Below are 23746 nucleotides of genomic sequence, written 5' to 3'. Positions count from 1 at the left end.
TTCCTCTTCCTCTTCTTTTTTGACAAGGTGACAGGGTCTTGCTCTGTCTTCAAGCTGGAGTGCAGTGGTGCAATCACAGCTCATTGCAGTCTTGAAATCCTGGGCTCAACTGATCTTCCTGCCTCAGCCTCCAGAGTAACTGCGATTACAGGTTCAGGCCACCATGCCTGGCTATTTTTATTTTTATTTCTTTCTTTATTTAATGTATTATACTTTAAGTTCTGGGATATATGTGCAGAACGTGGAGGTTTGTTACATAGGTATACACGTGCCATGGTGGTTTGCTGCACCCATCAACCCATCATCTACATTAGGTATTTCTCCTAATGAGATCCCTCCCCTAGCCCCACAACCCCCGATAGGCCCCTCCTCCCTGATGTGATGTTCTCCTCCCTGTGTTCATGTGTTCTCATTGTTCAGCTCCCACTTATGAGTGAGAAAACGCAGTGTTTGGTTTTCTGTTCCTGTGTTAGTGGGGTCTCACTATGTTGCCCAGATTGGTCTTAAACTCCTGGCTTCAAGAGATCCTCCTGCCTCAGGCATGATTACAGGTGTGAGCCACTGCACCTGGCCCATTTTGACTAGAATGTAACATAGTGGTTAATCAACACAAAGAAGCTAAGGATTGCAGGTGTGGGGTTGCTGGATTTGAGTAAGTTGTGAAGGAGAACATCATGTGGGAACAAACCTCTAGGATCCCTGTTCTTCCAGCAAGAACTGGAATTGGGCCTTTTGTGGGGTGGGGCTCTTTGATTCTGTGGAGGATCCTAACAGTGATGCCTGGGCTGATAGATCCAGGGGACTAAGAAGTCAGGGCTCCTCTGAGACATGTGACAAAACACAGCTGACACTGACTTGAAATAAAAGAGAGAGGATTTATTGGCTTCAAGGGTAGAGTTCACTGCAGACACATCTACCTCCTGAGGTTCCTGAGAGGGTGGGACATCACCCTCTCACCAGCAGCTTTTCTTCCCTCAAAGTTGGCTTCATTGGCATGCACTGTTGGTCCTTGTTACCGTAGGCTTATATCCTTCCAATTTAGTTATCCTAGTTTAAAGAGCTTATTTTTCTGCAGTAATACATCCAAAGCCCTAGGCCGAGTTCCTGGATCAACATGCCCAACCCAGAACCGATCACTGCGGTCCGGAAGATGACTGGCTAGTTCTGGGGGTTGAGGGTGGGAGGTGTCAGTACCCTGGAGCCACAAAGACTCATTGTGGGTGAGGGGGAAGGGCAGTTCCCATAGGAATAATGAACTGCTGTTACCAGAAAAGGCGGAGAAATGGATAATATTGAGCACACACTCAAAAGTCCCAAAGGAATGGCTATCCATTATTTGGGGACTTACTCCATATGGATATAGTTAAATTGTAAAATTGAATAAATCTTCCCTAAATCTGGACAGATGCAAGGGTGGGTGGGGAGGGACACAATATATTTACACTTTAGCATTTTTACTTTTTCTCCTACGTGGGACTGGTTGATGAAGATGCTATAGAAGTAAACAGAAAGCCGAAAGTATTAATACAGTAATTTTAAATTTTAGTGCCCTCTTTAGGCAAAGTATCTGGGAACGCTTTCAATAATCCATTTTTTCATCGTGACCACACCCTGTGTGTGCGACATGAGTATTACCGTCTTGCCCTTGCAGTTGGGGAAACCGAGGCATGACACTCCCCTATTCAGCTTTCTGGTGGGGTTGAGGAACAGTGTTGTCTGCACGACCTCAGAGGGTCTCCTCCACCCTCCGCGACACCTCTAGGAATCCTCCTGTCCTTCGACTTCGCAGAAGGAGAGCAACTCAGGCTCCGCCGCAGCCTCGGGACTCGTCCTCCGCCCAGCCGCACCCGCCCCGTTCTTCCGCACCTTCCTCAGGGAGGTCCCGCTGGCCAAGGTCTGGCTGTCCCTCCTGTCCTCTGCCCCCGCCTCCCTTCCACCGGTCCCCGACGTGCCGCCAGCTCCCAGCCCAGCGTCCCGCAGGGCGGTGCGGGCAGATGCCGCCGAAGCGTCTAGCGGGAAGGGCGCCGGCGCGGCTGGAGGTGAGGAGGCCGGACTCTTCGCTCTCCGCGGACCGGGGCACCGCGGCTGGAGCGGACGCCCGGCACCCGGGCGGGAGGAAGGTGGCGGCAGGGAGCGGCGAGAGGGTGGCGACGCAGGCGGGTCGGCGCCTGGAGAGCGAGCGGCGGGGAGCCGGGCGCTGCGGGGCCGCTCGGGGCCGCGCCGCGCTCGGCCACAAACCTCCCGGAGGCGCAGGACCCCCGGCGCCCTCCCGAGCGCGGGCGGGAGCCATGGCTTCGCGCGTCCCCGCTGCCGCTGCTGACTCGACACAATCGGCGGGTCGCGCGGGGGCCGTGGCGTAACCCGGGGGTGGGTGGCGGCGCGGAGCCGCCTCGAGAGCTCTGGGTGTCGCTGGGAGCTAGGAAGATGCCAGCACAAAGGCGAGCCGAGACCCAGCCCGCTGCGGAGGGCGGCGGGAAGAGCCGCTGAGGGGCGCGCCGAGCGCGCTCTGCCCCTGCGCCGCGTCTCTCCGGGCGCTTCTCGCGGTCTCGGGGTCGGGGACTGCAGCGCAGAGACTCTCGGCTCCGTGGCAGCGGCCGCAGCAGCCGTGAGCTGCATGCAACGCGCGGCGGCGCCCCCGGCCGCCTGCTTTCTCCTCGGCGCGCACGGACCGGCCGCAGGGCGCCGGGGCCGCGGGTCCGGGCGACTTTGGGGGCGCCCTCCCGCCCCGCGGCCGGGTCCCCACCCGCAGCTTGTGGCGACGGGCGCAAAGCCCAGGTGAGCGCGCGGCCCTCGCCGCAGGTAGCGGACGGCGGGAGGTGGCTTTGTTTTTCCTCCCTTGCGCCCCGGCGCGGTCATTCATTTGCCATTTCGGTTTCCGCTGCCCAGGATGTGTTGGATGGTTTGGTTCTCCAGGGAAACTGGGACTTTGGGGTCTATTTGAGCATCAGTTGAGGGAGAGGACGCTTCATTTCCTTTTTGGTTGGGAATGTGCCGTGAACATCCTCTGCTGGAGCTTGGGGCCTGGAGCAAACTGGGGCTGCAGATTTAGACGTAGACGTTTCCGAGGACGCGAGACTGCAGAGGTCTGACTCTCTCATGCCTTGTCTTCACTATTAGCAGCGCTCGGGTGCTTTTCGTCGTTTATTATTATTAATTTAGAGAACATCTTTACAGGCACATTTCTTTTAGAGTTAGAAGTCTTTGGAGTCAGTACAGAGAGCTCACAATTAGAGTTACAAGGGTTCAATCGATATTAAACTTCAGGAAGGAAAACATTTGTGATCATTACAGATAGAGGTGGACAGCATGCAAACTTCGGGGGCCTTTAGCTTTTGGGTTATGATTTCTGCTTTCACTGTCCTAGACTCACGCAAACTGTTTTCGTATATATATACCTTTGTGAAAGTGTGAAACTTGTCTTTTCTGGAGTAGTGTTCTATAGTTTGTCATTTAGAAGAAGAATATTTTAGTGTAATTAGTAGAGCTCTCCATGTGTTTGTCTTATAAATATGATTTTCTTTTTACTATTTCTCCTATTCCCTCGAGGGTTCATTTCTTCTGTTGCTTTGAGAGAGCTTTTTTTCTTTCTCTTCCCAACAGATGGCTGTATGTTCCAAGAGGTTATCTTTAAAATGACACACACATTATCTACAAAGAAAGAAAGATCAGTTATTGACTTTATCTTTGGAGTTATTAAAATAAAAGGCCTAATCTGGATGGGGATATTATTAATGGCGTGAAAATCTGGAGTTTGCTAATCTGTTTGGTCATCAGAAGATTCCTGCGGGGATTGTTTATATAGCGTGGGAGACAGATGGCATCCCTAGCAGACTAGAGAAGCCAGGCATAAAGGGTCATTGTATTCTTCAGAAATTATCCACTTCACTATTAGAGGTGGGGTAGGGTGGGGTGGAGGGTGGCAAAGACATTTTGATCTCTTAAAGGAGACACTGTAACGTTACTATCCAGCAGTCTAACCAGCTTTAATTTTTCTTTTTGTTGAACATTCAAAAAGTCCCAATTGAGCTATTTGTTTTGATTATTTCATTGGCACATTTTGGCTTCGATGTGGTTGTGTGAAGCAGTTTATTAACAAAAATGTCTTTGAACTTAAAAATAATCGTGCTGCTTCTGGGGGAAAATCAGTTGCACCTTTCTTAGCTCTTGTATATAAATGGCCCCTTGGACTCAAACCGTCTTCTGGCTGGAAAGACTTTAGTCTTCATTAGTTTGAATCCAGTTTCCTTCACCATCTCCGTGACAGGTGATTTCCAAATCCCCACCATTTGGCCGCAGACTCTGAGGTTTGGGCACCATGATGATTTCCCAGTCTAAGACATTCGCTTCACCATCGCCTCTATCACGGTATTGGGCAACATTTGGCAATGAATCTTTATGAATGGCTGTGGTGTCGGTAAAGAAATCAAAATCATTCTGAACATTTGAGATAAACCAGCTGGAGCTTTTCTGCGCCTACCACTGTTGTGGATTATCTATGTGTTGTGTAGATTGCAACCAGATCACAAAGCTAGTTTTCCCTCTTTATGAATGTGAAGGAAAATATTCCAGTAAATTAACATTTGCCAGCCACAGGACTAAATTTAATGAAGATTATGAGCAATGTTTGACCCCTCTGAACAGGAGACAAAAAATAAAAGTAAGCACTGGTTCTGTTTCACTTGGGCAATGTGATCTTGGGAGAAAAACCTATATTTTCTTACTCTTTTAAAAGGCTTTTGCAACACTGATTTCAGCCAAAGGCAAAGAAACCAAGGTTGTTACCTGTAGTTGAGGACAGATGCTTTGGCGTTTTCTCCTAGATGAATGTGTTTTGCAGGAGAGGTGGCTTTTGGGATCTTCCCAGTTTTAATATGTGCCTACACATCAATGAAATGATCTTGCATTCAAAATGCTTGTTAAGTCTATATGGTTGGTATCTGTGTAACCTCTAACCAGGTGGCTTTCTCTGTTGTGAAGTGTTCCTTTAAGAGAAACCAGAGGCTTCTCGCCTGGGGCTTGCTGTGGGCCTGGCCTGGATCCACATTCTTGTGCATTGCTGACTACTTTCTTGGGAAAAACTGGAACCAGTTTTGCTTGGTGTGTTGGATAGGGAATGGCAGCATTGGGTGAAAACCTTTCCAGCTCTGTTATCAAAAGCCAGGCCTGGCCTGAAAGAGGGAGGACTATGTTTGAAGTTTGATTGATTTAACAGAGGCAGAGGTTGCTTCATTACACACAGGATGCCTTTTGTATCAGGATATGAATGAGAGATTAGAAAGGTGACGAGATGCCCTGCTTTGCTTGTGACAGTGCCAGTTTACTCCTGTTGGTTTATCTTAATTATCAAAAGCACCCCCTTTCACATGTAAAAGTGTCCTGGTTTGGGTGATAATTATCTGGTCACCCTAGATATTAAGGAATCCTGAATTTTTTTCATCACCCCTCTTCCGACACCAGATTTTGAGTCTTGCCTTATTTCAGTCTTTTATTTATTAAATGCAAAGCTAGAAAATCAGAAAAATTTAAACCTGAAAAATATATAAGAAAAAATGAAATAGGAGGAAGGAAGATAGGAGAATGAGATAATTGCTTGTCATCTATTTACACACATAGTGAATAAAATAGTTTTATTCTTAAGTTACTAAGCATCTGCCGTGGCTGTAAGCCCATATTATTATTGTCTTCAAGCACAATATGAATTAACACCTGTCCATATATCTAGAGCTGACACTAATTGGGACAAATCCTTTGATTTGGGAGAGCAGTTTCTACAAAACCTGTTTGCAGACCTAGTGGTTACCATGGCTCTTAGAGGTAGGAATGCAAGTTTCAAGATCTAGTGTCTGGTCCAGATCTTGGATATTTACTGAGATTCCAGAACACAAGTGTTGTTGTGAAGACTTGATTCCACATTCTCTTAGTTTCCAAGCTCTCAGGGCCATGAGGATAATAGGAGGGCTTTTGTTTTCTGTACTCCCTTGTGTCTCCAGTGTTTGGTTTGGGTCTCAGCTTTTCATACAGAGGGGTCGCAGAGAGGGAGAACTGTTGTGTCTGTTCACCACATGAAAATTCTCTTGGGGGTTTGAGATTGTGCAGGTGACCTGGCAAGGGTTTGGATTCTTTACCCAACTTAGATATATGAAGTTTGTGGCATTTGCTTCTGCAGTAGTTGCTATGCTCCTTTACCAAAGAATTGTGTGTTTGTAACACAGCTCACTTACTATGTTGGCCAGTGGATGTTATAATTAATTATGGCTGTCACCTTTCCCAAACTCACTCCACTGAAGTCCTCAAAAGCTTGGTCAGCATGTCTAAATAAGAAGAAATTTATTTATTTATTTATTTTTTGAGACAGGGTCTCACTCCGTTGCCCAGACTGGAGTGCAGTGGTGCAATCTTGGCTCACCGCATCCTCCGCCTCCTGGGTTTAAGCGATTCTCATGCCTCCGTCTCCCAAGTAGCTGGGATTACAGGCACGCACCACTACCATCAGCAAATTTTTGTGTTTTTAGTAGAGACAGGATTTCACCATGTTGGCCAGGCTGGTCTTGAACTCCTGACAAATGATCCACCCTCCTCGGCCTCCCAAAGTGTTGGGATTACAGGTGTGAGCCACCGTGACCGGCCTATGTATCTTTTTTATAAGTAGGATGACTATGTAATTTAAAAAAATCCAGACAAGGACACTTTTGAGAGTAAAATATGGTACTAACTGGAAGGGGCATTAGATCAACAAGTATAAACTGAGACTGTGCCAGGAAAACTAGGATTTATGGCTGTTCTAACTATGACTCAAGTGATAAGCTTGTATATGTATTATATCCATATGATGAGAAATGTCCTTAGCTTCTTCTAGTCTTGTTCAACGTATATGTGTGTGTGTGTGTATGCAATGTATGTATAGATAAACATTGATAATGTATCTATGGATATGTGAATTGTAGGTTTGAAATAAACCACTTAAGAAGTCCTGGTAATTGGAAATTTATGCCCTTCCTTATCTCTTTCATTGGTTGACTTTTTAACTAAACTCTTTGGATCTAGCCTCTCCAAACTTTAAATCATCTCCTGACCTTGTCTATTTTAATACCATTCTATTGATATAATTCTTTTGCTTAAAAACCTCTGATGGCTTATCATTTTCTTTTTAATTCTCAAAGTAAGATCCATAGGCAGTTTGGTGGTTAGAAGGGAAAAGCAATGAAAAAATTTAATTCATTCATCCATTCATTTATTTGTTCATTCAAGTAATATGTATTGAGCTCCATCTGCGGGTTAGTATCTGATCTAGGTGCTGGGAATATATCAATGAATAAAACAAAGATCTCTGACCTTGTAGAGTTTTCATTCTGTTGGGGGCAGGCAGGTGGGAGGTGGGAGACAGATAATAAACCAAATAACTAAATTATATATGATGCTAGAAGGAGATGAGTGCTTTGGAAGAAAGAGAAAGTAGGACAGGGTAAGTGTGGTTGAGTAGGCTTCATGGAGAAAGAGACCTTAAGCAAAGAGTTAACGGAAGGTAAGAGAAGTTGCTTAATACAAATACCTGAGGGATAGAGTTGCAGGATGGCCAGTGCAAAGGCCCTGAGAAAAGAATGTGTTTGGATATGTTCAAAGATTTGCAAGATCAGCATGATGGGGTGGAATGACAAGGGGGAAGTCAGAAATGAGACCAGAAGGGTGGTGTGGGTGTTGCAAAGCCTGTAGGGCCTTGAGATAGGCCATTTAATTATGATTTCAGCAGACATCCCCTTATGTTCTTAAAACTTATTATAATATTTAAGATTGTATTTGTGCTGCAAAGACTGCACTGGTGAGTGCGTATAGCTTACATTTTGTTAATGGTCCACTTCATGTTTGTTAATATAATTTTTATATCATTTACTTATTTTTTATTTGTTAAAAGAATATTTTTTGTTTTTGCTGTTCTTAAATTGTATTCCCATTTCACAAAACTAGATAAGTGGTTCAAAAGTAGTTCATTGAAGTGTAAAAATAGTGATGAAAATAGTACTGTAAATGCTACATTTCAGAATACCATAAACATACTTAGAGAACTGAATCCCACTGCATATAAAATGGGAATATGTATGTATAGAGACAAGGGAATCTCTGAGAGTGACAATTTCAGAACAGTAGCTGAAATTGAAAAGTGCAAATGGAAATATGACAATGACTATCTCAAAACTATTTTTTATTGGACTTGCTATCCCCATTAGGACCAAATGAATCCGTAATCGTTGCCTGTTATGAAACTTTGTCCAATAGTGGCATGAAGCCATGGATGTTTTTGTGTCATTTTCGAACAAAGCACAGTGGCTTCTCTGTTATACTATTGAAGTTTTCTAGGACAGGCACACAATAATGCTTTCCTTTATAAAATTAATGTATTATATGGCTAAAGGTAGGTAAGAGATTATAATTCTATTAGCATCATTAAAGGATCCTTGTAGCAAAATAAGTATGAGTCATATTATTGAAGAGACACTTGGAAAATCAGCTGGAAAGTTAAAGACAAACATTATCCTTAGAGAGAAACCAGAAGTTATTGACAAAACTCCTTTGTCAAATAACATGGTTGGCTGTGGCATAATATCAGTGGAGTGGAGTGTGGAAGAGCGATTACTATCAAGTGCACGCTAGCAGATATTTCACTTTATGGTTGGATGAAACCACCGATGTCATGCAGAGAATGAATCAGCTTTTGGCATTTGTTCAGAAATGAGTGCTCGGTGATGCTTTTGTTCATTTGTCACTGAAAACTTGTGCTATAGGAAGAGTTTTTTTTTGTTTTTTTTTTTTTGGTTAACCATTATTCATGAGAGTGGAAAAGTTGCTCGGGACAGAACTGACAGGGTACTGGGCTCAGGTACAGATAAGGTGATGGCTTCATGAAGAAAAGGAGTTGTACTTAGAAAGAAGCCAATCCACATGCTACCCACTTCATGGAGAAGACGTAATACCCTCTGATCTTGAGGAAATACAAAAAGAAACAGTGGAAACTATGGATTCAACCAAACTGTGGCCCCTGTGTCTGTGAGTTTGCTGTGCAAAGTGATGGGCAGTGAGTGTAAGACTGCTTCCCCAAGCTGACATATGCTAGCTGCATAGTGGAAAGGTGCTCGTGTAATATTTTATCTGTGGAGTAAGATATCTTTGGAGCAAGAAAAACATTTCCTTATGACAGTGATTAGAAATGATTTGTGTTATATCAAGTGGTATACCTAAGTCATATGCTTAGCCCGTGGTGAACTGTGGCAAGGACAGAGAGGGAAGGGAGAATTATTAACAAATAAAACAATATGCCACAATCTTAGACTATGAAATTTTTTATTAGGGAGTTGGAAGTTCACATTGACTGTAAATTAAGGAAGTGATATTTTCAGTAATAGACAGCCATTTATATCATAAGCATAGTATCTCTCAGTGACCTGCTAGAAGAATAAGAGCTCAAAGTAATAGAACTTAGACCCAGTAAGTTTTGATGGGGAGTAGACACGAGTGTATATTTGGTATTTGAGAGCATGTAGAGAACCATGGCAGGAGGGACCCAGACTTTTAGGATTTTGCATGAAGATATTGGGTGGCAGGGAGTACAGGCTGAAGGAGGTAGAGAAAACTGTCAGATTTCTCTGACAGTTGGATATGATCTTTCTTAAGTTTTTGCCTTAGGCTTCACTTCATTTTATCCAAATGGACTTCATACTCTAAGGTTTTCAGGACATAATCTTTATTGCCATTGGCATAATCTAGAAAAAATGAATGATTTCTTCTGGTCTTATAGTGGTATTGGATACCCTCCGTATAGGCCCCCACCCCTTCCTCCCTCCATTTTTTCCTCTCTTCTCTTTCTCCTTCTCCTCCTTTGTTCTCTCCTTCTTTAAGCCATTGAGTTGGCATCTCTAAGCTACACGAGCTAGAAGAGCTCATCTTCTGTATCACTGTTATCTAGGCAGATATATGTGCTATTCAGGGAACAAGGGAAAGGAGCCCCTAGGGAAGGGAAGTTCTGTACCTTGCTCAACTAACTCATCCTAATGTCCGATATCCAGCTATAGCATGCATTTAAATGTAAACCCCATTCTTTAATAAAGACTCATTTCCTTTTTCCCCTCTTTGGACTTTTAATAAAGATGGAATCATTGTCTTTTGTTTAATAAGTCATCCATTGTGATGGCCCTTATTTAATACTAGGACAAAAGTCATTCATGCATTATTCATTGAACCTTATATGCCAGGCTCTATGCTAAGTAATGGGTATAAAAGAGGTTAATAATCAGACATGGCTCTGTCCAGATAAGACAGAATCTAATGGAAAACAGGCCACACATATATGAATAAATAAATAAGTATATAATTGCAAAACAAGGCAAAAATATTAATGTTTGTTAAATCTGGGCGTTGGTATGTATGGTATACCTCAGTAATATACTTAGGCCACAGTGAATCATGGCAAAGACAAACAAGGAAGGGAAAATTATTAGCAAGTAAAACCATATGCCACAATCTTAGACTATGAATTTTTTTTATTAGAGAGTTAGATGTCCACATTGACCATAAATTAAGGAAGTAATATTTGGTATATGGGCTACTGTTATATTAACTTCTTAACAATATGAACTTCTAAATGTATATTTTAAATATTTCATAAGCAACAAATGAAAAAACCTAGTTGGAAGTACATTAAGTGCTTTGTCGAGGTGGGCTTTGGCAGAGAATGTTGTGTAACTGAGACTTCCTTTAGATGGAGTGCTCAGGGAAAACCTGAAGTGTAATTCATCACTTGCCTATATAAGAAGGATGAGGATAATTTGGAAAGGGTTCAGGGAAGAGTAACAAAGATGATTGATGACAGAGTTGAAAATAGCCCTATGAGAACAGTCTTAGAGAACTGGGGATGCTAAGCAGCAATGGAATGCTTAACCTAATGCAGTGATTTAGGTTTTTTTTTTTTTAATTTATAGGGAGTTTTACACATCCACATTCTCTTCACTTGTCTGCCATGGTCAACAGCAGGCAAGACAAGTGATTCAATTTAGAATTATGGGTTGGAGAAGAATCAGAATTTTGTTCTGCACTTGAGGAAAAATTGGAAAGGATCTGAGAGGTAAACTAGTTTAGCCTTTCTGTAAAGAAATATCTCTTCAGTGTTTTTAACAGGTGGTCATCAGGTTTTTAGGAGATAGTTTCCATGCTTCCTCCACTAAAAATAGGGTGATGGTGAGTGGGACACTCTAGTTTACTTTAATTAGACAGGTCTTCTTCCTGTCCCATAAATACCCTAGACTCATCTCCACCTCAGTACTTTTACCACAGGAAGCAACTCCCACCTGGAATGCCCACCACTTCTACTTACTCTTTCAGGCCCCAGGTCTCCATTGCCCTTCTGTATGCAATTTAAAAACAGTGGTTTTTGTCATTTTTCCCACCTCATCCTTCTGAAGAATATGCCATTCCTGGAATTCAGTGTAGTTTCCCTTGTCAGTGATTGACAGTAAGAGTAAGGGTGGAGTAAGTATCTTATAGGAGGAGTTGGGAGACAGTGTGTTTAGCCTTCCACCCAGATGCTGATATGCTACCCTCTTGGGAATCACTCGTTTGTAGCAATTAAAATCTTAATCATCTGCTGTTTTAGGTGGTACACTAGTTATTGTTTTCCATTAGTCTTCTTGCCACCTAGATTTTAAGCACTCTAAATATATGGAAACTTGGCAGATGCCCCTGTGTAATGCCCAGTATTGATCACATAGTGAATATTCAATAACCAATGCCTAATGGCTAAAGGAACCATCTATTTCTTCTTCATGGACCATTATGAAGGGTTGTTATTTATATAGATCAGATATTAATTGACACAGGATACTAAAAGATTAACATTTTGGACTTTTAAAATGTCAGAAAGTCAAGTCTTGGAGGCCTAGTTCATTCAGATAACTCTCATCTCAGAACTTTCTTCCTTCGTAAGTCTTCTAACTCCTTGCTATTCAAAGTGTGGTCCACAGTCCAGGCAGCATCAGGATCACCAGGGAGCTTGTTGGAAATGCAGAATCTCAGGCACCACACCAGACTTATTGAATTTGAATCTGCATTTTTAAAAGATCCTCACATATGTTGGATGCACAGTAAAGTTTGAGAAACATCATTTTAAATCATCAGAACTCAGAAATTTAGGAGTATTTATCTTCAAAGAGAAGTAAGTGTGGAAATGAAGATTTCATCAGTCTGTGGATGAGATCCTCAGTGCCTTCTGCCATGTGATCTGGAATTTTGCTACTTCATATAGGAGCTTGCCAGGCCAGAAGATACCTCTGCAGGAGTTCCCTGGGGTAGTTCAGGTATGTAGGTGATATTTAGGATTGGTGATTACAGGAAGAAGAAGCAGTTGTTGGCATGAGAAACTAGGAGAGGTTGTCATAAGTAGAGGAGCATGGCAATACGACCCTAAACCAAGAGATCACTTTATGATTGGACACAACTTCTAACTCCCTGAACATGGACTTGTCTCAAACTCCAATACCTCCAGAGCCAACAGGTCACAAATGAAACCAGCTGGATGTGTTGTGCATGGTAGCCTTGTGGAGTGGTGAGGATCATGGAGAGACACACTTCATCAAAAGGAAAGGCAGTGTCCCCACTTGGCTCACCTTATTGTTGCCACATGGGAATTTGGACCCACCATGGCCAAATCTTCAGATTTTTCAAGTGAAGCTAAACTTAATTACATGTAAGTTTGTATGTAAAACATCTCTTGGGTGTAATTTGTTGGTTAAGTATACTGTTTTCAGAACAGCTCATGCCAAACGAAATTCACGTGCTGTTGTGGTGTCTGTGTCTGGTTCGCAGTACCTGTTCTGGATCAACTGAATGTATGAGGTGGTTTTGATACCTGGCTTCTTCAGTGCAGGGCACCAGACACAGGTGTTATGGATCTCTACCAAGAAAATGAAATAAAAAGACGTAAAAGAAGGGAGCTGTATATGCTTTGATGGCCTGATTTAAAATCTGTGATAATCTGAAGAACCTCAGTGGTGTTTGAAGAAAGGGTTAGGTGCCTAAAGGAATAAAATCCAGGTTTTGTAAAAACAGTAAGCAGGTGTTGAGGCAAGGGCAAGGAGATACAGAAACAGAAACTACTTGGCATCCTCAAGCTAGGATCACACACTGCAACAAGGCAGTCAGGGCAAGGATGCTGGACCATAGCTGGAACCTTCTTGTGCTAGAAGAGAAGTGTAACCGTAGCTAGAATTTGAGTTAGTTTATCTTCAGCATCTGGTTATTGAATTTGGTGGCTACCGAAATTGAATTTTGCTGGATTTTCAATTGAAGTTTGTTGTGGTAAAATTACATATTTTGAGAGTGAAAACCAGGTGAAGAAACCAAAATTCTTCCTAATGATTTGCTACTTATTGTATTTGTTAAAGACTAAATTTCTTCAGGGTAAGGATAATTTATTATTATTATTATTATTATTATTTTTCGAGATGGAGTCTCACTATGTCACCCAGGCTGGAGTGCAGTGGCACAATCTCAGCTCACTGCAAGCTCCGCCTCCTGGGTTCACATCATTCTCTTGCCTCAGCCTCCTGAGTAGCTGGGACTACAGGCTCCCACCACCACTCCCGGCTAATTTTTTGTATTTTTAGTAGAGATAGGGTTTCACCGTGTTAGCCAGGATGGTCTCAATCTCCTGACCTCGTGATCCACCTGCCTTGTCCTCACAGAGTGCTGGGATTACAGGCATGAGCCACCGCGCCTGTCCATGGTTTATTTATCTTTACATCCCTAGCATCTATCATAGTCCAAATCAATGAATGTTTCTTGACCTGAACTGATTATAAGACAAAATAAAGTTTATTTTCTATCTTGGAAGTCTATCTGTAGGTGTTCATTTTCCTAACTAAATTTTAAAAAACAGCTTTATTGAGGTATAATTCACATACCGTAAAATTCACAATGTTAAGGTGTATAATTCAGTACTTATTATTTTTATCTTTTATTTTTTATTTTTTTGAGATAGAGTCTCACTGTATCGTCCAGGCTGGAGTTCAGTGGTGTGATCTCAGCTCACTGCAATGTCTGCCTCCCAGGTTCAAGTGATTCTCATGCCTCAGCCTCCTGAGTAGCTGGGACTACAGGCACATGCCACCATGCCCAGCTATTTTTGTATTTTTAGTAGAGATGGGGTTTTGCCGTGTTGGCCAGGCTGGTCTTGAACTCCTGACCTCAAGTGATTCTCCTGTCTTGGCCTCCCAAAGTGCTGGAATTACAGGTGTGACCCATCATGCCCAGTCAATTCAGTACTTTTTAGTACATTCACAACAGTATGCAACCATCACCACTATCTAATTCCTGAACCTTTTCATCACCTCTAAATAGAAACTACATACCCATTAGTAGTTATTTCCCGTTTTTCCTGCTCCCAAACTCTTATTAACCACTACTCTAGATTTGCCTATTCTGGACATTTTGTATGAATGAAATCATATAATATGAAGTCTTTTGTGACTGCATCTTTCACTTAGCATAATATTTTTAAGGTTTATGCATGTTGTAGCATGTGTCACTACTTCACTCCTTTAAATGACCAAATATTTCACTGCATGAGTTTTGTTCATTTTGTTTATCCATCCATCAGTTGATGGACAATGAGGATGGTCTCATTTTTCGGCTATTATGAATAATGCTGCTATGAACATTTATGTAAAAGTTTTTGTGTGGATGTATGTTTTTAGTTCTTTTGCATATATATAGGAGTAAAATTGTGGGCCATATGGTAAATCTGTGTTTTGAGGACCTGATTAACAGAAAGTAGGTGCAACATTTTATATTCTAATCGATGTATGAGAGCTCCAGTTTCTCCACCTCTTTCCCACTTTTTTTTTTTTTTTTGCCATTGTAGCGGGTGTGAAGTTGTGTTTCATTAAGGTTTTCGTTTGTATTTCCATGATGACTAATGATGTTGAACATTTTTTCATGTGCTTATTGGTTATTTAACTATCTTCTTTGAGGAATTGTCTATTCAAATTCTTTGCTAATTTAAAAAATAGAGTTGTCTTTTTATTGTTGAGTTTTAAGACTTCCTTGTATTATGGATACTAGACCCTTAAGAGATATATGCCTTGCAAATATTTTCTTCTGTTTTGTAGATTGTTTTTTCACTTTATTGATAGTGTCTTTTGAAGCAGAAAAGTTTATAAATTTAATGAAATCCAACTCACCTTTTTAAAAATGGTTCCTTGTGCTTTTGGTGTTATAACTGTCCTTGTTGATCTTTAGTTGTTTTATCCATGAGGAGAAGTGGGATATTGATGTCTCTGACTATTGTTGTCCATTTCTCCCTTTAGCTTTGTCAGTTTTTGCCCATGTATTTTGCTGCCTTGTTGTTAAGTGCATATATGTTTATAATCATTATGTTTTCCTTTTCAATTGATCCTTTTATCATTACAGAATATCCTTCTTTGTCTTAAGTAACAATTTTTGTCTTAAAGTCTATTTTGTCTGATACTAATATTATCACTCCAACTCTTTTTTTGGTTGCTGTTATCATGTTGTATTGGTTTGCTAGGGCTGTCATAGAAAATACCACACTCTGGGTGACTTACACAACAGAAATTTATTTTCTTGCAATTCTGGAGGCTGGAAGTATAAGATCAAGGTGTTGGCAAGTTTGGTTTCTTCTGAGGCTTCTCTCCTTGGCTTCAGGTGGTCACCTTCTTGCTGTGTTCTCATATAGGCTTTCCTCTGTGCATGTATGTCCCTGGTGTCTATCTGTGTGTCAGAATTTCCTCTTCTTATAAGGACACCTGTCAGATTAGATTAAGGTCTATACTAATGGCCTCATTTTAACTTAATTACTTCTTACCGGTTGTATCTCCAAATTTAGTTACATTTTGAACTACTTGGGGTTAGTACTTCAATATATGAAGTGTTTTTGTAGGAGGGCAATTCATCCCATAACACATGGTATATATATTTTTCGACTTAAAATTTTTATTCTATTTTTATCTCTGATTATACAGTATCTCTTGTAGACAGCATATAGTTGGATCACTTAAAAAGTATTTTCTGCCAATTTCTGCCATTTGACTGGATTGTTTAATTTACTTAAACATTTAATGTAATTACTGATAATCAAGTAGCATTTATGTCTGTCTCTTTCCTGTTTGTTTTCTACATGTCTTCTACTTGTCTTGTAGAAGAGTTCCTGAGTTCCATTACTGTCTTATCTTGTGTTAAATATATATTTTCCAGTGTACCATTTTAATTCTCTTGTTGATATTTTTCTGGAGGAGGAGATTTTCATAGGTGTTTACTCCATAATTCCTGATGATACTGTTATGATATTTTTTGAGTTATTTTCTTAGTAGTTGCTCTGGGGATTACAATTAACTTCTTTACTTAAAACAACCTAGTTCAGATTAATCAACTTAAATTCAGAAGTATATAAAACTTCACTCCAATACTTCACTTTGCTCTCATTGTAATACAGATTACATCTTTATACATTATAAACCCGTGACTACACTTTTTAAATAATTGCTTTATGCAATTGTCATTTAAATTAGATAAAAAGAAAGGGTTATAAATATAAATATATTTATCTTCTCTGTGTAGATAGCTTTACCAATACTCTATTTCTGTGTGGCTTTGAGTTAATGTTTGGTGTTGTTTTTATTTCAGCCTCAAGGACTCCTTTTAGTATTTCTTGTAGGATGTGATGGTGACAGATTCTCTCAAGTTTTGCTTATTTGAGAATGGCTTAATTTTGCCTTCATTTTTTGAAGGATAGTTTTCCCAGTTATAGAAGTCTTGGTTGACCTTTTGTTTCAGCACTTTGAATTGTTATACTGCTGCCTTTTGGCATCCTTGGTTTCTCATGAGAAATCAACTGTTATTTTTATTCAGGTTCCCTGTACATGCTGGAATATTTTTTTCATACTGCTTTCGTTTCTCTCTTTGTGTTTTGACATTTTGACTATGATGTACCTTGGTGTGAATCTTTTTTAGTTTATCCTGTTTGGAGTTTGTTTGAGCCTCCTGGATACATAGGTTAATGGTTTTCATCAAATTCAAGAAATGTATGGCCACTAATCTTAAAAATATCCTTTCAATTTCTTTCCTCTTTTCCTGGAACTCCCAGTGTGCATATGTTGCTTTGCTTGTGGGTGTTTCACAGGTTTCTGAAGCTCTGTTAATTTTTCTTTGTTCTTTTTCTTTCTATTCCTAAGACAGCATAACCTCAGTTGATATATCTTCAAGTACACTGATTCTTTTTTATGCCTGTTCAAATCTACTATTGAACCCCTCTAGTGAATTATTCATTTCAATTACTGTATTTTTCCACTCCACATCTTCTTTTTGGTCCTTTAAAGCTTTTTTCTTTATATTGATATTCTTTGGTGAAGCATCATTTTTATACTGTACTTTAATTCTTTAGACATGATTTACTTTAGTAATTTGAACCTATTACATAGCCTATGTAAAGTCTTGGTCTGGTATGTCCAACACCTAGGATTTTTTGATTGCCTGCTTTATTTCCTGTGAATGGGCCATGCTTTACTGTTTATTTGTATGTCTTGTAAGTCTGTTGAAAAGTGGACATTTCAAGTAAGATAATGTGACATAGATTGTCCTCCCTCTCGAGGATGTGGTATTGTTGCTCGTTGTTGTTGTTTATTTATTGACTTCAGAATGAATTCTGTAGTCTGTATTCTTTGTCATATGTAGCTACTGGAGTCTCTGTCTGGTTATATTAGTGGTCAGCTGATGGTTGAAAGAGATTTCCTTAATTGCCTTGGACTAGTAAATCTCAGTCATTGCTGAGAGCTCTGTGTACATGTTGGGGGCATACCTTCGACAATCAGCAAGACAGTTGACAATTCTGCCTTAGCCTTCACTTACTGCTTGCACACATCCTCAAGGTGAGCCAGAGATTAGAGCCTTCTTAGGTATGTCTTGGGTATGAGTAAATACATGTGGCGTTCTAGAGTCTAAGGAATACGTCAGAGCTTTGCAAAGACCTATATGGACATCTCATTCCCCAGATCTTTCTTTTAAATTTTTTCTTTTTGCCAGTCTTTCCCCCAACATCAGGTCTAATAGATCCTTTTTCTTTGTTAATATCAAAGCCTTAAATAGATGACTAACATTATTATATTTAGTAAAATTTAATAAATGACTTTTTAATAAAATGACTAATTTGCAAAAGTAAAAATAAAGGTATAGTAGAAAAACAACATAATTAGAAGTTATAATAGAAACTTAAGCACAGCACACCTAATTTTTTCCTTATATTTTTCTGGTTTTGAAGGCATATATATTCCAATTGGGCAACATTCTGTGAATGCAACCAGCTGCATGTGGAGACATGTGGTGTATATGAACCTGGAACATATCCACCTTGTAAATACTGATTCTGAGATTCAAATATGTCCCTAATAAGTTCTAGCCTATCATTATCTCTTTTCCTTCTTCTTACACTTGCCTTGACAAAATCCGTTATTTGCATCATTTTGAAATATTTGATGTATCATAACTTTGTTGAAGAGTCTTCAGCCATTTTCCTTCCTGTATAAGTGGAAAACATTTTTATTCTTAGATGATTGAAAACTGGATTGACTGATGAATCCAATGGTTTATTTTTATTTCTACATCCATTTCCTTTTTTTCTAATAAACCTTTTTCCAGCTTTATTGAGGTATAACTGACAAATAGAAATTATATATTTATAATGTGTATAATTTGGTGTTTTGATATGTGTATACATTGTGAAATGATCACCACAATGCTTGTTAACATTTGTTATCTCACATGGTTATCTTTTTTTTGTGGTGAGAACACTTAAGATCTATCATCTTAGCAAATTTGAAGTATACAATTAGTGTTGCCAACTATAGATATCATGCGGTATGTTAGATTTCTTGAACCTATTCATCTTGCATAACTGAAACTTTGTATGTTTGACGAATATATCCCCATTTTCCCCACCTTCCCAATTCCTGGCAACCACTATTCTACTCTGTGCGTCTGAGTTGGACTGTTTTCGATTCCACATATAAGTGAGATCATGCAGTACTTGTCTTTCTGGACTATTTCACTTAGCATAATGTCTTCCAGGTTCATTCATGTTGTCACAAATGGCAGGATTTCCTTCTTTTTTAAGACTAAATAATATTTCATTGTACATACATGTACAGTCATGCATCACTTAATGATGGGGATAATTTCTATGAAATGTGTCATTAGGCAATTTAGTCATTGTGTGAACATCAAAGTATGTATGTACACAAACTTAGATGGTATAGCCTACTACACACTTAGGCTATATGGTATATATGGTATAGCTTATTGCTCTTGGGGTACAAACCTGTACAGCAGGTTTGTACTGAATACTGTAGACAATTATAACACAATGGTAAGTATTTGTCTATCTAAACATATATAAACACTGAAAAGGTATAGTAAAAATATGGTGTTATAATCTTATGAGACCACCGTTAATATAGTTTAGATATTTGTTCCCTCCAAATCTCATGTTGAAATGTGATCCCCAATGTTGGAGATAGGGCCTAGTGGGAGGTTTGGGTCCCACTCATTTATGAGGGGGTGGATCCCTCATAAACGGCTTGGTGCCCTCCCGTTGGTGATGAGTGAGTTATTGCTCTGTTAGTTCATGCAAGAGGTGGTTGTTTAAAAGAGCTTGGCAGCTCTCTTGCTTCCTCTTGCCATGTGACACGCCTGCTCCTGCTTAGCCTCCCACCATGAGTAAAAGTTTCCTGAGACCTCACCAGAAGCCAAGCATATATTGGTGCTATTTGTACAGCCTGCAGAACCATGAGCTAAATAAACTTATTTTCTTTATAAATTACCCAGTCTTATGTATTCCTTTATAGCAATGCGAAATGGACTAATACAGCTGTCATCTATGCAGCCCATTGTCTATGTTAAATGTAATTATGTGGCTCATGACTGTGTGTATATATCTATATACATACACCATATTTTCTTTATTCATTCATGTACTGATGGACATTTGACTGTTTCCATACCTTGGATATTATGAATAATGCTGCTTTGAACATGGGAGTGCGGATGTCTTTTTGAGATACTAATTTCATTTCCTTGGGTTATATACCCAGAAATGAGATTGTTAGATCATGTGGTAATTCTATTTTTAATTTCTTGAGGAACTTCCATATTGTTTTGCACAATGACTGTACCAGTTTACATTCTCACTAAGTGTACCAGAGTTCCATTTTCTCCAAATTCTTGCCAATATTGTCTTTTTGATAATAGCTATTCTAAAAAGTGTGAGGTGATATCTTATTGTGGTTTTGATTTGCATTTCTCTGGTGGTTAGTGATGTTAAGCATTTTTTCATACATACGTTGGCCAATTGTATTTTTTTTTTTGCAAAATGTCTGTTCGGGATCTTTGCCTTTTTTTTTTTTTTTTTTTTTTTTTGAGACAAGGCCTTGCTCTGTTACCCAGGCTGGAGTATAGTGGTATGATCATAGCTCACCGTAAGCTTGAACTCCTGGGCTCAAGCAGCAATCCTTTCACCTCAGCATGTGGATATTTAGTTTTCCCAACACCATGTATTTAAATGACTATCCTTTCCCTGTGATGTGTTCTTGGCATTCTTGTCAAAGATCAGATGACTGTAAATGAGTAGATTAATTTCTTGGCTTTTTATTCAGTTCCGTTAGGCTATATGTCTGTTTTTTATGCTGGTACCATACTGTTTTGATTAATGTAACTTGGTAATATGTTTTAAAATTAGGAAATGTGGTGCCTTTAGTGTTGCTCTTTTTGCTCAAGATTGCTTTAGCTATTAGTGTTCTGTGGTTCTGTGTAATTTTTAGGATATTTTAAAATTTCTGTAAAGGATGCCATTGGAATTTTGATAGGAATTTCATTGAATCTGTAGATCATTTTGTGTAGAGTGGACATTTTAATGTTATTAATTCTTCCAATCCATGAACACGGATGTCTTTTTATTTGTCTGTATCTTTAATTTTCTTCATTGATATTTTGTAATTTTTGATGCACAAGTCTTTCACCTCTTTGGTTAGGTTTATTCCTAAGTATTTTATTCTTTTTTTTTTTCTTCTTGAGACAGAGTCTCACTCTATCGCCCACACTGGAGTGCAGTGGTGCTATCTCTGCTCACCGCAACCTCTGCCTCCTGAGTTCAGGCAATTCTCCTGCCTCAGCCTCCTGAGTAGCTGGGATTATGGGTGCATACCACCACGCCCAGCTAATTTTTGTATTTTTAGTGGACACGGGGTTTCACCATGTTGGCCAGGCTGGTTTTGAACTCCTGACCTCAAGTGATCTGCCCGCCTCAGCCTCCCAAAGTGCTGGGATTACAGACGTGAGCCGCCATGCCTAGCCAAGTATTTTGTTTTTTGTCGCTATTGTAAATGGGATTATTCTCTTAATTTCCTTTTTGGCTAGTTTGTTGGTTGTGTATAGAAACACCAGTGATTTTATAATGTTGATTTTGTATCCTGGAACTTTTTTTTTGAAATGGGGATCCCACTGTATTACCCAGGCTGGTCTTGAACTCCTGGGTTCAGGCAATCCTCTTGCCTCAGTCTCCCAAGTAGCAGGGATTACAGGCATGCACCATCCTGTCTAGCTGTTTATTATTTCTCACTGTTTTTTTTTTGTTGTTGTTGTTGAGTCTGTAGGGTTTTCTATGTATATTATTATGTTACCTGCAAACAGAGATCATTTTACTTCTTCATTTATGAGTTGGATGCCTTTTATTTCTTTTTCTTGTCGAACTGTTCTGTTTCCCCAGCCTCTTGTTTGCCACAGCTGGTATTGCTGCCGAGGCATCCGCAGTGTTCGGCAATTGCAGCTGATTGTTTTCAACACATGCTGTGGGGATACGGCTTTTCCCATTGAGTGGGCACTGAGTCAGGTCCTATTAAGACAAGTCCTGAGAATAGGGCTTTTCCAGCTAACTGCCAGGTCATATAGTGATAATTTTCTGGGTTAGGGCCTTTTTGAGGAGCTCCAGACCTGTTTGCTCCCTTGTCCATGCACTCTGCCAGAGTGCTGTTTTCCATAGTTACCATGGCTACAAGGATCTGGGTTTTCAAGGGTCCTGTGATGCTGGGGAGAGAGTGATGGAAATAGGGCAAAAAATTAAAAAAAATAAAGCACACTGTCCTTATTGAGACTTAGATATTTTTCTTGAGTAAATCATCCTCATAATGTTGTAAGCCTATTTTTGATTTCCAGAGTTGTGAAAAAGTTGATTTTGACATTTTTTTTTTTTTTTTGGTCAGCATTCTTATTGCTTTTATGGAGAAACAAATTTCTGGGGGTCTTTATTCGGTCATTCTGAAAGTGTTTTCCCCTCTTACTGAATTATAAAACTGCCTGCCACTCTCCTGATGTTTTATTTGATTGTTTTCTTTTTTAGATCTTGAAACATGGTTTGTATTATCGCATTTCTCATCTTTGTCATCTGTTTTTCCACCCCTCTTCTCCCATAGGTACATACTTAAAGAAAAGTCCATGTGTAGATTTTAAAAGACTTTTAATTTGGTAATATACACGTCTTAGTCAGCTCTGACTGCTATAACGGAATACCATAAACTGGGTTGCTTAAATAACAGATATTTACTTCTCACAGTTCAGGAGGTTGGACAACCAAGATCAGAGTGCCAGCAGGGTTGGGTTCTTGGTGAGGGCCCTCTTTCTGGCTTATAGACAGCTGTCTTGTGGCTGTGTAGACACATGGCAAAAAGGGAGCTAGCTAACTCTGTGGCCACTTCTTATAAGGATACTAATCGCAGTCATGAAGGCTCTACCCTTGTGACCTAATTACCTCCCAAAGTCTCCACCTCCAAATACCATCACATTGGGAGTAGGGTTTCAACATGAATTTGGAGGGGGCAAGCACAAACATTTAGTCTATTGTAACATATACCATAAAATTTGCTATCTTAAACTATTTTTAAATGTACAATTCAGTAATGTTAAGTACATTCACACTGTTATGCAACCAATCTCTAGAACTCTTTCATCTTGCAAAACTGAAACTCTGGGGCATGGTGGCTCATGCCTGTAATCCTAGCACTTTGGGAGGCTGAGGTGAGTAGATCGCCTGAGCCCATGAGTTTGAGACAAACCTGGGCAATACAGTATGACTTCGTCTGTACAAAAATTTAAAAAATTAGCCAAGCATGGTGGCACACACCTATAATCCCAGCTACTTGAGAGGCTGAGGTGGGAAGATCGCTTGAGTCCAAGAGCTGGAGGTTACAGTGAGCCGAGATCATGCCACTGCACTCCAACTTAGGCAACACAGTGAAATCCTGTCTCAAAAAACACAAAACAAAAACTTCTGAAACCCTGTACCCATTAAACAAAACTCCCTGTGTCCCTCTTCCATCAGTCCTTGGCAGTCACTACGCTACTTTTTGTTTCTGAATTTCTGAATCTGATTGCTCTTGCTACCTCATATAAGTGGACTCATACAGTATTTGTCATTTTGTGACTGGCTTATTTCACTTAACATAATGCCCTCAAGATTCTTCCATGTTGTAGTATGTGTCAGAATTTCCTTCCCTTGTAAGACTGAAATATTTCACTGTATGCATATACCACAATTTTTTATTCATTCATTCCTTGATGGATTCTTGGGTTGCTTCTACCTTTTAGCTATTGTGATTAATGCTGCTATGAACATAGGTGTACAAACATCTCTTTGTGACCTTGCTTT

At 40.0% G+C, this 23746-nt stretch overlaps 1 protein-coding gene across 6 annotated transcripts in view, besides 2 other annotated features; it reads left to right on the top strand.

Moving 5' to 3' along the window:
• The window catches only part of HECW2 (HECT, C2 and WW domain containing E3 ubiquitin protein ligase 2), a 399483-nt gene continuing 377729 nt past the window's right edge, over positions 1993–23746 (top strand). For 2 of the 6 annotated variants that reach the window (NM_001348768.2, XM_006712646.4), the window contains exon 1: positions 1993–2039. The gene's annotated coding sequence lies outside the window, so the exon portion shown is untranslated. Of the gene's footprint in view, positions 2040–2563; positions 3084–23746 lie in introns of those variants that run through there. The other 4 variants (XM_047445197.1, XM_024453020.2, NM_020760.4 and 1 more) reach the window with 2 other exon arrangements.
• Positions 2035–2304: a silencer, noted in NCBI's record as "silent region_12205". NCBI's record gives its function as "represses an Ori minimal core promoter by ATAC-STARR-seq in GM12878 lymphoblastoid cells {active_cell/tissue: GM12878}" and the evidence as "EXISTENCE:reporter gene assay evidence [ECO:0000049][PMID:35858748]".
• Positions 2385–2764: a silencer, noted in NCBI's record as "silent region_12204". NCBI's record gives its function as "represses an Ori minimal core promoter by ATAC-STARR-seq in GM12878 lymphoblastoid cells {active_cell/tissue: GM12878}" and the evidence as "EXISTENCE:reporter gene assay evidence [ECO:0000049][PMID:35858748]".

Source organism: Homo sapiens, chromosome 2 (genome assembly GCF_000001405.40).
Source record: "Homo sapiens chromosome 2, GRCh38.p14 Primary Assembly".
Classification (NCBI taxonomy): Eukaryota; Metazoa; Chordata; class Mammalia; order Primates; family Hominidae; genus Homo; species Homo sapiens.
This window is presented reverse-complemented; position numbering and strand designations above follow the sequence as displayed.